Raw genomic sequence first — 15,055 nt, forward strand, 5'->3', positions numbered from 1 at the left:
TTATGTCATATTTTATTATGGTTGAATTAATTCTTATAGTTAGAGTACATCCTAAATACAACTAAAGAAGTTAACTGATGCTTAAAGTTACTAAAGCCCAAATTATTTTTACTTTTCTTTTCTTCATAATAATGTCTGTTTCTGTTATCATAAATGTAGTGGTCTCTGAGAAGCTATGCACTTTTATATTTGTTACTCAGACCTCTTGAAAAATGTTCAAAATTATTAATATACACAAATGTATAGAAAATATCCATATACATTAATATACAGAAATAATTTCCTCTCAGTAGAGGAGACTAGATCATAGTGAATCAATGTTTAACCCATTTCCCAACACCATTTAACATGAGCTTCAGGCCACTAGAATTACCTCCATTGACTTAGAAAAGTACAGAAGACATAAGTCATATCAAAGACAACAGGAAAATGTTTAATTGTGTTTAAGTGCTTCTATATTTGTATGACAATATTTATTTAACAAACATTGATATAGCACTTGCTACATCAGGCAATGTTTCAAGCTTTTTTAATAAATATTAATTCATCTAATCCTCATAACAACCTTATGAGTTAGGTAATATCATCCCTATTTTTCAAATGGGAAAACTGCGCGTAAAAGAAGTATCTTGCCTAAATCCCTAGAATCAATAAATGGCAAAGTCAGAATTTGAACCTATGAGTCTGGCTCCAGAGTCTGAGCTTTCAAGCACTACTCCATCAGGCTACCTCTCAATATTCTAAATCATTTCCATATTTGGAATCTGATTTAATATAAAGGTGTTATAGCTTTTAGTCGTGTAAAAAACTTTTCTTTTTGAGATCTGAAAGTGACTTCAGATCTCAAACACCTAAGGAGACGTGCTGGTAGAGATCTGAAAGTGATTTCACTATGTGGCTGCTCCCACACAAACACCCAATGTCTCCTTGACTCTCATCCCACTAGCTCATGTACCTCCTGCTCGGCATCCACCAAACTCTGTTTTCTCCTATAGCAACACCTACCACAATATTTGTATATTAAGTGTTACGTTCTTTAAGGACAAGAAGCATATCTTGTTCACAGTTTTTTTTTTTGTTTTTTGTTTGTTTGTTTTTTGAGACAGAGTCTCGCTCTCTCGTCCAGGCTGGAGTGCAGTGGTGCAATCTCGGCTTACTGCAAGCTCCGCCTCCCAGGTTCACGCCATTCTCCTGCCTCAGCCTCCCGAGTACCTGGGAGTATAGGTGCCTGCCACCACGCCCGGCTAATTTTTTGTATTTTTTTTAGTAGAGATGGGGTTTCACCATGTTAGCCAGGATGGTCTCGATCTCCTGACCTCGTGATTCGCCCGCCTCGGCCTCCCAAAGTGCTGGGATTACAGGCGTGAGCCACGGCGCCCGGCCTTCTTGTTTACAGTTTTATCTCCAACACATGTACCTGAGCAGACAAAGCATGATTATAAATTACTCAACAGCCAGAGAGTTAAACTAACTTCTTATCAAATTACAACACCTAAAATAAATAGGTTTCTTCTCTATACCTATGGGAGTAGGTACTCATTCCAATTTTAAAATTAGCATGTGTGTGGAAATAATCTTGTGATTTAAAGAAAATGACACTGCAGAAAACTACATTAATGAATGGTCCTCTCCATCTTGGCACAGAGATTTAAAATTTGGGTGTTTCAAAATTAAAGACACTAAAGCTCTTCGTTTAAAAAAAAAAAATGACAACACAGATGCACTGAGCTTTTCAAACTAAAAGTCAGGAATATATATCAAGCTACTATCACAAAACACTTCCATCAAAACCCTGCAGGAAGCAAACAATTGCCAGCTAGCACATCACCCTTCATGCGAAATGACGTGCGTCATTTTGTGCAAAGGACATCAAAAGAACTTGTCAGTTAAACAGAGGATTTAGATATACCATGAGAAAACTTTCATGCACCACTTTACATATTTCCAGCAAAATTGCTATAGAAGCACTTAAGGCACAATAATTTGAACCTAACTTGACTTAAGTAACCAACACAAACTACTTTTCTAAAATGTCTCCTATTTTCATAAGTGATAGAATTTAGTTATAAAAGTCCTACTAACTCTTGTAAAATAATCTACAGAGACATGGTGATTCATTTGCTTTCATTCAGCAGCATTTGCTTGTAAAATTATTAATTATGTGCCTATTATGTGCTAGGTACTCTATTGGGTGTTCTTGTACAAATCATTTTTCTGCCAGCAAAGCCATATTTTTTTGAGTTAGTAATTCCCAGATTTTTGTCAAATTCAACAGCATTATGCAATGAGTTCTTAGTATGTACAGTAAGGAAGAGCAGAATTTTAGTTGATGTAAGTAATTCTACATTTTATTTTGGATAACAGGAACATACAAACTATATACATGCAACCTGAATATTCTTATTAACTGTTCATTTTGCATTTCTGTCCAATTTGACCAGTGAATTCACTCAAATAGTCAAGTTGGCTTTGGCATTTAGGTAGGACCAGTAGGTCCATAAAGTGAGAGAGTCAAATGGGTAATGGAAGACAAACTCCCTCCTAGATCACAAGCTCCTGAGAATAAGAACTGTGACTTCTATAGTACTGGGGCCAAATGTATTTCCTGGCACAGACTATGCATTAATATATGATTGTTTGAATGAAAGAATGACCTCACTAAACTTCTCCCAAACATATAAAACTATATCCCATCTGTAAAAATTTCCAGAGGGACCAGACATGATGATGGTCATTTGGTCATTATCCTTATTAATATTAACCTTCCTAAGTACAGAGATCCCATAGAGGCTCTTAGGGTACAATAAATCAAACCTAAGTACATTAATTAACCAATACAAGTTATAACTTTACTAACAGTTATTATTTTCCGTTAAATTTCCTAAATTCTCTTAATCTTTTATCACTGAATCTGTTTTTTTAAACTTTTTTCTTATCTTTTAAATTATTCTGATTATTAAGTTAAAGGTTAACAAGATAATAAATCATAACTCTGCTTCAAAGCTTGCCAGCTTAAATTCTATTAACAATGCCTGATTATTCAAGCTTATCTCCTTTTTATAACTTTGAAAATAAGCTGAAATCTGCACCTCTAATCACAGTGTCCTGTACCCTTTCAACTATACGTTTGCCTTGCCTTCCACTAAATCCTAAACTAGAGCAGGGGTCAGGTTCTTGTTCCTCTTTCTTGCCATCCTCTCACCCTGACACGCACTACTGTATCCACTTCAAGGGCATGTTCAGGAAAGATAATATAGCACTGCAAAAATGGGCTACTGGGGGCTGGGCACGGTGGCTCATGCCTATGATCCCAGCACTTTGGGAGGCCAAGGCAGGCAGATTGCTTGAACCCAGATGTTTGAGACCAGCCTGGGCAACATGGCAAAACCCCATCTTTACAAAATGTACAGAAAATAAATAAAAATAAAAATAAATAGCCAGGCATGGTGGTGCGTGCCTGTGGTCCCAGCTACTCCAGAGACTGAGGTGGGAGGATCACCTGAGCCCAGGAGGTAGAGGTTGCAGTGAGCCACTGCACTCCAGCCTGGGTGACAGAGCAAGACCCTGACTCAAAAAAAAAATGGGGGATAGGAAGGCAGAGAAAAGCACCCCGAAGCCCTCGGGCGGAAAATTGGATTAAAACCTTAAAGAGAAGTAAAATATTCTCCTTTACTGTCTCCATTTCAGTCATTGCCTTTAAAATTCATACATATATTCCACTAGTGCTAACCTAAGAGAATCAGCATTATTTAATATCCATTGCCTCAGACACTGTTGTTTGGCCAACCATACTCATTCCCAGGCCCCAGCCACCTTCTTCTGTGGCTAGGAACACTAAATACTTATTTTTCCTGCTTCTCTTGCAGCTAAGCATTGCCCTGGACACAGTTCTGGCTGATGAGATACAAGCAAAACCCACCAGAGGGTTCCCTGAAAAGATTTTGCTTTCATGATTAAAAAAAAAAAAAGGAGAAATATGGCTGGCATTGTCACTTCTCCCTTCATCATGTCCTGAACATACAATACCTAGGCTTGCATTATGTATTTTGCAACCGTGAAATAAAAAGCATGAAAATGAAAAACAAACTCAATGGGAATGGTGGAACAGAGGATTAAACAGGATTATTAAGCAACTAAACCTATGCAAACAATCCCCTGTTTTCAGATAGCTTGATGTGGGAATAAAAGATTGTTGACGTTACCGTTACTTACAGACAAATGCTTTCCAATGGAGATGCTACTTAAGACAGCCATGGTTTAAATCCTGGTTCTGCCTTTTACTGTGTGACCTTGGGCAACTTAATAAACTTTTCCAAGCCTCCATTTCTCATCTGTAAATGGGCATAAGTGAAATTGCTACAATAGCATTGTTGTGAAAAATATAAAATAATGCATTTCAAGTACTTGGCATTGAATTTGGCACAAAGCATTTCTCTCAAACATTAAAAGCACATTTTAATACTAAACACAATAGAAATGTTTTAAAAATAAATGTTGCTTTTTTCTCCAAATAATTACATATAAAAATTAAACATTTAGGGTGTTAGAGAAGTCAATTCTTTATTTTTAAAATCATCATTATATATAGTTTAACTTAAGACAATTTACAATAAGAATTAAAATGTATAATGTAAATGTAAAATGTACATTTGTGTAATTAGGTAGTACAAATATTAACTAATAATTGCTATGTGGATTAAATTTTTTATATTATTCTAATTATTGTGATACAAAATAAGCCATTTCCTCCAGCACAAGATAGACTGAAATGACTGGCAGTAACCTCACAACTTCTTGTTGCCATACCACCCAGAAACCTGAGACATGTGAATCTTTACTGTTCCACTTACTAGGTTATTTTCAGGACATTCAATCATTTCTCTTTAATCATTGAAGGAAACAGCAAATCTCTGTTTGTTGTTTCGCTTTGTTTTAGTCAGAAGCATTTTTGCTTCACTTCAACAAGATCATCACTCCAATTGTTTCTCTTTAGCAGCTTATCTTACAAGGCCAGTAAAAGACTGTGTTCCGAAGCCTAGAGACTTTCCATTTATAGCTTTCCATTAAGCCTCTTAAAAGTAGGTATTTACACAAATTAATTACTTAAAAGGTAGGGCCTTTTATGAAATAGCTTTTTTATTAATTCAAAGAGATTATAATTTTTAATCTAAACCTTTTTAAAAAGGATTTGAGTCGACTTACAACAAAAGACATAAATAGATTAAGATTGTTAAAATAAACCAAAACATATGCAAATACTGGGAAAAAAGGATGCAAATAAAAAAATCATGATGGCCACAATTATGCAAAACATTTAACTGTGAACTTCTACTAAAGCAAAAATGGAAACAGAGTTGATTTTTAAAATCTCATTATGTTAGAGGGAAAGTGTATGGTCTATATTTTTATATGCTGATACTCAGTGTAGCCTTAGTACTAAAATTTCAGTAGGAATTTCTCTCATGGCCCTTCCCCAAGAAAAATTAAGTTCCATAATACACAGTGTTTTCATCAGTGAGGTTCAGTGGCTGCTTTGAACTTTAATAAAAGTCAATAGCATGACATTATACCAGTAATTTTAAAATGATTTTAAGCTATGGAATCTGAAAAAAATATGCAGCAGCTAAATATATAAAATTATAGATAAATAAGAACTTCTCTAATTGAAACAGAGTTAAAGTGCCTAAAGCTACTATAACCAGTGATTACAGAATCTGAGTAAGGAAAAAAACTGTAGCCAATAAACTGATCACAGTGCCTTGCTTAGTTACAAATATACAAATGCAAATACAATGTCCTAAGCTCTTATGCTCTCCTGACAAGGTTGGGGATGAGGCAAGAATGTCTACTCTCATTGCTCTTATTGAACATTATACTGCAAGTCCCAGTTCAATAAAGCAAAAAGAAAAAATGACACATAAGGAAGACAGGAAGAAATAAAACTGTCTTTATTCAGAAAGAGTGTATTGTGCATGTAGAAAATCTTAAAAATCTACAAAAAGCCACTAAATCTAATAAGTTAATTGAGCAAGATTGCAGGATACAAGTTCAATAGAAAACAACCATTTGTATTTCTATATATTAACAATAGGCAATTGGAAATAAAACAAAATATATTCACAACAGCATCAAAAATCATGTAAAACTAAGGATTAAATCTAACAACAGGTGGGCACAGGCAGTTCATTAAAAATTACAAATTATTACCAAGAAAAATTAAAGAAAAATTAAATAAGGATATTTCTATGGAGTGAATTTTGTCCCCTTCTCTACTTCAGTTTATATGTTGAAACCCTCAATGTGACAGTATTATAAATGGGTACTTTGATAGGTAATTAGGTTTACATGAGGCCATGAGGATGGGCCCTCATAATTAATTAGTGTCTTTATAAGAAGAAACACCAGAGAGCGTGCCATCTCTCTCTCCGTGTGTGTGTGTGTGTGTGTGTATGTGTGTGTGTGTGTGTGTGTGTGTACACAAAGAGGTCATGTGAGCACACAGTGAGATGGTGGCCACCTGCAAGCTAAGAGAAGGGACTTCAAAATAAAACTTACCTTCCCAGCACCTTTATCTTGGACTTCCCAACATCCGTAACTATGAGAAAATAAATTTCTATTATTTCAGCTACCCAGTCTATGATATTTTGTTATGGCATCCCAAGCTGACTAAGACAGAGATATACAGTGCTCATGGATCAGACGACTTGAGGTTAAAATTTAAGATACGAATTCACTGCAGATTTTTCTATAAACTCAGTATAATCAGAAATAAAATCCCACTAGGCCTATATGACCCAAGAATTCCATTTGTAGGCATATACATAATAAAAAACAGGGACTCATACAGATATTTTTATCATTGCTGGATAATTCACAATAGGCAAAAGTTAAAAACAACCCAAGAGTCAATCAACAGGTAAATGGATAAACAAAATGTGGTATATACATACAATAGAATGTCATTCAGCCATGAAAAGGAATGGAGTTCTGACATATGCTACGACATAGATGAATCTTGAAAATATTATGCTGAGGGTGGAGCAAGATGGCCAAATAAAAGTCTCCACAAATTGTCTCACCTAAAAGGAACACCACATTTTAACAACTGACTACACACAATAAAAGCACCTTCATAAAAAACAAAAATCAGGTAAGCAATCACAGTACCTGGTTTATATTGCTGACAGAGGAACTAAATGGGTAGGAAAGACAGGCTTAAATCACTGAGACCACCCCTCTCACATTCCCCAGAAATAATTACATGGCATAGAAAGAGAATCTGTACACTTGGGGGAGGGAGAGCACAGTGACTGGGGGACTTTGCATTGAACTGAGTTTTGCCCTGTCACAGTGGAAAGCAAAAGCGTGATGAACTCAGCCAGTGCCCACACATGAAGGGAGCATTTGGACCAGACCTAACCAGAGAGGAAGTGCCCATCTCAATGGTCTGAACCTGAGTTTCTCTGCAAGTCTTGCTACTGCAGGCTAAACTGCTCTGGGATCCTAGGTGAACTTGAAAGGCAGTCGAGGACACAAGGACTGCAATTCTTAGGGAAGTCCTGATGCTGTGCTGGACTTAGAGCCAGTGGATTGGGGTGGCACATGGCCTAGAAAGACACCAGATGGGCCAGCTAGGGGAGTGCTTGTGCAACTCCTCCCACAACCACAGGCAGGAAAGCTTGCAGCAATAAAAGGACTCCTTCCTTCTACTTGAGGAGAGGAGACAGAAGAGCAAAGAGACTTTGTCTTGCACCTTGGATGCCAGCTAAACCAACATAGGGTAGATCAGTGGGCAGAGTAGTGAGGCCTGCATCCTAGGCCCTACCTCCCAGATGACATTTCTAGACACACTCTCGGCCAGAAGAGAAACATCTTCCTTGAAGGGAATGAACAAGTACTGGCAGAATTCATCACCTTCTGACTAAAGAGCCCCCGAACCCTGAATCACCAACAGCAATACTCAGGTGGTATACCACTGGCCTTGGGTAAGACTCTGAGACATGCTGGCTTCAGCTACCAGCTCAGCCATAGTAGCGCAGAGCACCAAGTGGGCTCTTAGGGATCCCTGAATCCAGGAATAGGCTATTGGATGGCACTTATAGACCTGCCCTAGGCCAAAGGGGAGCCCACTTCCCTGAAGAGTGAGCCCCAGGCCTGGCAGCATTGACCACAATCTGACTGAAGAGCCCCTGGGCCTTAAGTGAATCTTAGTGGTGGCCTGGAAAAACTCCCTATGGGCTAGTGGTGGTGGTGGCAACAGGGAAAGGCTTCTCTGCCTGTGGAAAGGGGAAAGAAGAATGGAAAGAGCTTTGTCTTATGGTCTGAGTACCAGCTTAGCCACAATGCAACAGAACACCAGGTAGATTTCTAAGTTTTTTTTTTAATTCTAATCCCTGGCTCCCAGACAGCATCTCTAGACCTGCATGGGTTCTGGGGAAACTGACTGCCCTGAAGGAAATGACAAAATCTGTGGCTTCCCCACCTACTGATTGTAGATCCCTAGAATCTTGAGAGAATATAGGTCGTAGTCAGGTAGCAAATATAGTGGACCTTGTGTGAGACTCAGTACTGTGCTGGCTTCAGGTCTGACCTGGGATAGTCCCAGTGGTGGTGGCCACAGGGGTGCTTGAATCATGCCATCCCCAGCTCCAGGTGGTTCAGCACAGCAAGAAAGACTTCATTTGTTTAAAAGAAAGTAGCAGAAGATAACGAGAATTTCTTCCTGGTAATCCAGGGAATTCTTCCAGACCTTATCTAAGACCACCTAGGTGGTATCTTTATGAGTCTGTATTACTCGGCTTGGAACCCAAGTCTCTTTTGAATATCTAGAAAGCCTTCCCAAGAAGAATGAGCATAGAGCATAGACAAGCTCAGACTGAGAAGACTACAATAAATACCCAACTCTTTAATGCCCAGACACAGACAAACATCCAGAAGTATCAAGACCATCTAGGAAAACATGACCTCACCATACAAACTAAATAAGGGACCAGGGACCAATCCTGGAGAAACAGAGATATGTGGCCTTTCAGGCAGAGAATTCAAAATAGCTCTTTCGAGGAAACTCAAAGAAATTCAACATAACACAAAGAAGAATTCAGAATTCTATCAGATACATTTAACAAAGAGATTGAAATAATTAAAAAGAATCAAGCAGAAATTCTATAGTTGAAAATGCAACTGATGTATTGAAGAATGTCTTAGAGTCTCTTAATAACATAACTGCTCAACAAAAAGAAAGAATTAATGAGCTTGAAGACAGGCTCCTTGGTAATATACTGTCAAAGGAGACAAAATAAAAAGGAATAAAAAATAATAAAGTAAGCCTACAGAATCTAGAAAATAGCTTCAAAAGGGCAAATCTAAGAGTTCTTGGCCTTAAAGAGGAAGTAGAGAAAGAGATGAGGGTAGCAAGTTTATTCAATGGGATAATATAAAAGAACTTCCAAACTTAGAGAAATATATAAATATTCAAGTACAAGAAGGTTATAGAACACCAAGCAGATTTTACCCAAAGAAGACTACCTAAAGGCATTTAATAATCAAATTCAAAGATAAAGAATCCTAAAAGCAGCAAGAGAAAAAAAACACACACACAATAGAACTTTAATGCATCTGTAAGCAGACTTTTCAGTAGAAACCTTACTGGCCAGAAGAGAGTGGCATGACATACTTAAAGTACAGAAGGATAAAAACGTTTTACCCTGGAATAGTATATTCTGTGAAAATATCCTTCAAGCATGAAGGAGAAATAAAGACTTTCCTAGACAAACAAAAGCTGAAGGATTTCATCAATACCAGACCTGCCCTAAAAGAAAGGTTAATGGGAGTTCTTCAATCTGAAAGAGAAGGACAATAAGCAATAAGAAATCATCTGAAGGTACAAAAATCAGATAGTAGAAAGCAGACCGAAAAACACAGAATACTATAACACTGTAATTGTGGTGTGTAAACTATGTTTATCTTAAGTCAAAAGACTAAATGATGAACCAGTCAAAAATAACAACAACTTTTTAAGACACAAACAGTACAACAAGACAAAGAAAAACAACAGAAAGTCCTTACTTGTCAATAACAACATAAAATGTAAATGAACTAAACTCTGTAATCAAAAAGCATAGAATGGCTGAATGAATTTTTAAAAAAAGACCCAATGATCTGCTGCTTATAAAAAACATACTTCAACTATAAAGATACACATAGACTAAAAACAAATAAATGGAATATTTCATGGCAATGTAAACCAAAAAAGAACAGGAGTAGCTACAGTTATATCTCATAAAATAAATTTAAAGACAAAAACTATAAGAAGAGACAACATTGTTATACAATGGCAAATGGGTCAATTCAGCAAGAGGATATAACAATTGTAAATAGATATGTACCCAACACTTGAACACCCAGATATATAAAGTAAATATTATTAGAGCTAAGGAGAGAGACAGACCTCAGTACAATAGTAGCTGGAGATTTCAACATCCCACTTTCAACATTGTTGATTTTCTGCCTGGGAAATCTGTCCAAAGAAACATCAGACTTAATCCAGACTATAGAACAAACGCATCTAATAGATATTTACAGAATGTTTCATCCAATGGCTACAGAATAAAAATTCTTCAACTCAGCATCATTCTCACAGACAGACCATATGTCAGGCTACAAAACAAGTCTTAAAACATTCAAAAACAATTGAAATTGAAATAATATAAAACATATTCTCTGACCACAATGAAATTAAACTACCCATCAGTAACAACAGGAATTTTGTACACTAAAAAAAAAAACATGAAAATTGAATCATATGCTCCTGAATGACCAGTGGGTCAATGAAGAAATAAAGAAGGAAACTGAAAAATTTCTTGAAATAAATGATAATGGAAACACAACATACCACAACTCATAAGATACAGCAAAAGCAGTACTAAGAGGAAAATATATAGCTTTAAGTGCCTATATCAAAAAAAGAAAAACTTAAACAGCCTGATGATGCATCTTAAAAAATTAGAAAAGCTAGAACAAACCAAACCCCAAATTATTAGAAGAAAAAAATAAACATCAGAGCAGAAATAAATGAAATTGAAATGAAGAAAACATAAAAGATAAACAAAACCAGAAGTTTGTTTTTTTTAAAGATAAGCAAAATTGGCAAACCTTTAGCCAGACTAAGAAAAAAAAAAAAAGAGACGATCCAAACAAATAAAATCAGAGAGAAAAAAGAAGACATTACAACTGATACAACAGGAATTTAAAGGATCATTAGTGACTACTATGAGCAATTATATGCTAATAAATTGGAATATGTGGAGGAAACGGATAAATTCCTAGGCTCAAACAACCTACCCAGATTGAACCATGAAGAAACCCAAAAATGGAACAGACCAATAACAAAGTAACAAGATTGAAGCTGTAATGAAAAGCCTGCCAGTAAAGAAAAGCCTGGGAACCAATGGCTTCAGTGCTGAATTCCACCAGACATGTAAAGAACTAATACCAATCTTACTCAAACTATTTCAAAAATGGAGGAATAAATACTTCCGAATTCATTCTATAAATCCAGTATTATCCTGATACCAAAATCAGACAAAGACACATCAAAAAAGAAAACTATAGGCCAATATCCCCGACGAATGTTGATAGAAAAATCCTCACAAAATACTAGCAAGCTGAATTCAACAATACATTAAAAAGATCATTCATCATGACCAAGTGGGGTTTATCCCAGTTTCAACATATGCTAATCAATCAATGTGATATATCATATCAACAGAATGAAGGATAAAAACTATATGATCATTTCGATTGATGCTGAAAAACCTTTTGCTAAAATTCAACATCTTCTTATGATTAAAACCCTCAAGAACTGTATATAGAAAGAACATACCTCAACAGAGTAAAATCCATGTATAACAGACCCACAGTTAGTGTTATACAGAATGGGAAAAAACTGAAAGCCTTTCCTCTAAGCTCTAGAACACAACAAAGAACTCCAATGTCACCACTGGTATTCAACATAGTACTGAAGTCCTTCCTAGCTAGAGCTGTTTTCTGTTTGAAAAGAGAAAGAAATACATGGTGTCCAAATTGGAAAGGAAAAAATCAAATTGTCCTTACTTGCAGATGGTATTATATTATATTTGGTAAAGCCTAAACACTTCACCATAAAACTGTTAGAACTGATAAACAAATTCAGTAAAGATGCAGAATAAAAAATCAATATAAATAGTAGCATTTGTGTATGCCAACATGAAACAATCTGAAAAAGAAAAAAAGTTCTTCCATTTAATATAGCTACAAATAAAACGAAATACAAAGGAATTAACTTAAAGAACTGAAAAAAACTCTACAATGAAAATTATAAAACACTGATAAAAGACATTGAAGATACAAAAAAAATGAAGACATTCCATGTTCAAGGATTGAAGGAATCAATATTGCTAAAATGTCCATACTACCCAAAGCAATCTACAGATTCAATGTAATCCTTGTCAAAATACCAATGACATTATTTACAAAAGTAGAAAAAGTAATCCTATGATTTATATGGAACTACAAAAGACCCCAACTAGCCAAAGATATCCTGAGCAAAAAGAACAAAACTGGAGAAACCACATTACCTGACTTTAAATTATACTACAGGGCAATAACAAATAAAACAGCAGGGTGCTGGCATAAAAACAGATACCTAGACCAATGGAACAGAATAGATAACCCAGAAACAAATCCTTATTTTCAACAAAGCTGCCAAGAACATATATTGGAGAAAAATCATCTCTTTAATAAATGATGCTGGGAAAAGTGGATATCCATATGCAAAAGAATGAAACTAGACCCCTATCTCTTGCTATATGCAAAAATCAAATCAAAAGGGATTAAAAACTTAAATCTAAGACCTCAAACCATGAAATTACTATAAGAAAACATTGGGGAAAATCTTCAGGACATTGGACTAGGCAAAGATTTTTTGAATAATACTGCACAAGCACAGGCAACCAAAGCAAAAATGGGCAAATGGGATCACATCAGTTAAAAAGCTTCTGCATACTAAAGGAAACAATCAACAAAGTGAAAAGATAACCCACAGAATAGGAGAAGATATTTATAAACTACCCATATGATGAGAAACTAATAACCAAAATATAGCAGTAGCTATAAAAACTCTATAGGAAAAAATACAATAATCTGATGTTAAAAAGGGGAAAATATCTGAACAGACATTTCTCAAAAGAAGACAAATGGCAGACGGGCATACGAAAAGGTGCTCAATGTCACTGATCATCAGAGAAATGTAAATCAAAACTGCAATGATATATCATCTCACACCAGTTAAAGTGGCTTATATCCAAAAGACAAGCAGTAACAAATGCTGGAGAGAATGTCAAGAAAAGGGAGCCCTGGTACACTGTCGGTGAGAATGTGAATTATTACAACTGCTATGGAGAACAGTGTGAAAATTCCTCAAAAACTGAAAATAGAGTGACTATGCGATCTAGAAATCCCACCCCTGGGTATATACCCAAAAGAAAAGAAATCAGTATATCAAAGGGATAGCTTCACTCCCATGTTTGTTGCAGCACTGTTCACAATAGCCAATAGCCAATATCTGGAAGCAACCTAAGTGTCCATCAACAGATGAATGAATAAAGAAAATGTGGTACATATACACAATGGAGTACTGGAGCCATAAGAAAGAATAAGATCCTGTCATTTGCAGCAACATGGATGAGACTGGAGGTAATTATGTTAAGTGAAATAAGCCAGGCACAGAAATATAAACTTTGCATGTTCTCACTTATTTGTGGGAACTAAAAATTAAAACAATTGAACTCATGGAGAGAGCAGAAGGATGGTTACCAGAAACTGGGAATGGTAGTGGGGATGTGGTGGGGCAGGGAGTGGGAATTGTTAATGGGTGAAAAAAATAATTAGAAACAATGAATAAGACCTAGTATTTGATAGCACAAAAGGGTGACTATAGTCAATAATAACTTAATTGTACATTGTTAAATAACTAAAATAATATAATTGGATTGTTTCTAACACAAAGGATAAATCTTAAGGGGATGGATATCCCATTTACTATGACGATATACATTGCATGCCTGTATCAAAGTATTTCACATGCCCCATAAATATATACACTTACTATGTACCTACAAAAATTAAAAATAAAAAACATTTTAAGAACCATTACACTAGGTGGCATACGCCAGATGCAAAAAGAAAATATTGTATGATTCCACTTATATGGTGTATAAATACCTAGAATTGGAAAATTTCCCTAGAATAGGCTCATTCACAGAAATAAAGTAGATTACAGATTACCAGGGGCTGGAGGGAATGAGGAGTTATTGCTTAATATGTACAGAGTTTCTGTATGGGGTGATGGAAAATTCTGGAAATATTGGTGACACGACGATGCAAATGTAATTAATGCCACTGAATTGAATACTTAAAGATGGTTAAAATAGCAAATTTTATATTTTTTTTACTATACTAAAACACCCTTATTTACAAAACAAAACCCTAGGAGACTTTTTTATGAAATCTACAAATTGATTGTGAAATACATATTAAAATGTAAAGGATCCACAATAGCCAAAATCATTTGAAAAGAACTAAGTTGCATGATTTGATCTGAAGACTCACAGAAACACTACAATAATCAAGACAGCATAGTATTGGTGTTAACCGTAGATGTATTGATCAATAGATGACAGAATGTCAGAAATAGACACATATATGATCAATTAGCTTCTGACAAAGTGCCAAGATAATTTAATAGGAAGAAAAATGTTTTCAACATATTGTATGGAACATCAAGATATGCATATGAATACATAAACTCTGACCTTTCCTCAGATCATATACAAAATTAACTTATCAATTACAGACCTAAATGTAAAAAATCTCCTAAAAGGAGAAAACTTTGCAAAAAAACCCAAAAGTGATAAATTATATCAATTCGTTAATATAGAAATATAGACTATAATTACATGTGTTTGTATACATACATGTGTCCAGAACTTAATAACCTGAATCTTAGCAACAAGAGGAC

The 15,055-nt window shown here is 35.5% G+C and overlaps 1 protein-coding gene across 24 annotated transcripts in view; it reads right to left on the minus strand.

Moving 5' to 3' along the window:
• The window catches only part of GRM8 (glutamate metabotropic receptor 8), an 814,344-nt gene that overhangs the window by 547,782 nt on the left and 251,507 nt on the right, over positions 1-15,055 (minus strand). The window contains exon 1 of one of the 24 annotated variants that reach the window (XM_047420274.1): positions 4,213-4,300. The exons of the other annotated variants lie outside the window; for them this stretch is intronic. The gene's annotated coding sequence lies outside the window, so the exon portion shown is untranslated. Of the gene's footprint in view, positions 1-4,212; positions 4,301-15,055 lie in introns of those variants that run through there. 24 annotated transcript variants of the gene reach the window in all.

Source organism: Homo sapiens, chromosome 7 (assembly GCF_000001405.40).
Source record: "Homo sapiens chromosome 7, GRCh38.p14 Primary Assembly".
Taxonomy (NCBI): Eukaryota; Metazoa; Chordata; class Mammalia; order Primates; family Hominidae; genus Homo; species Homo sapiens.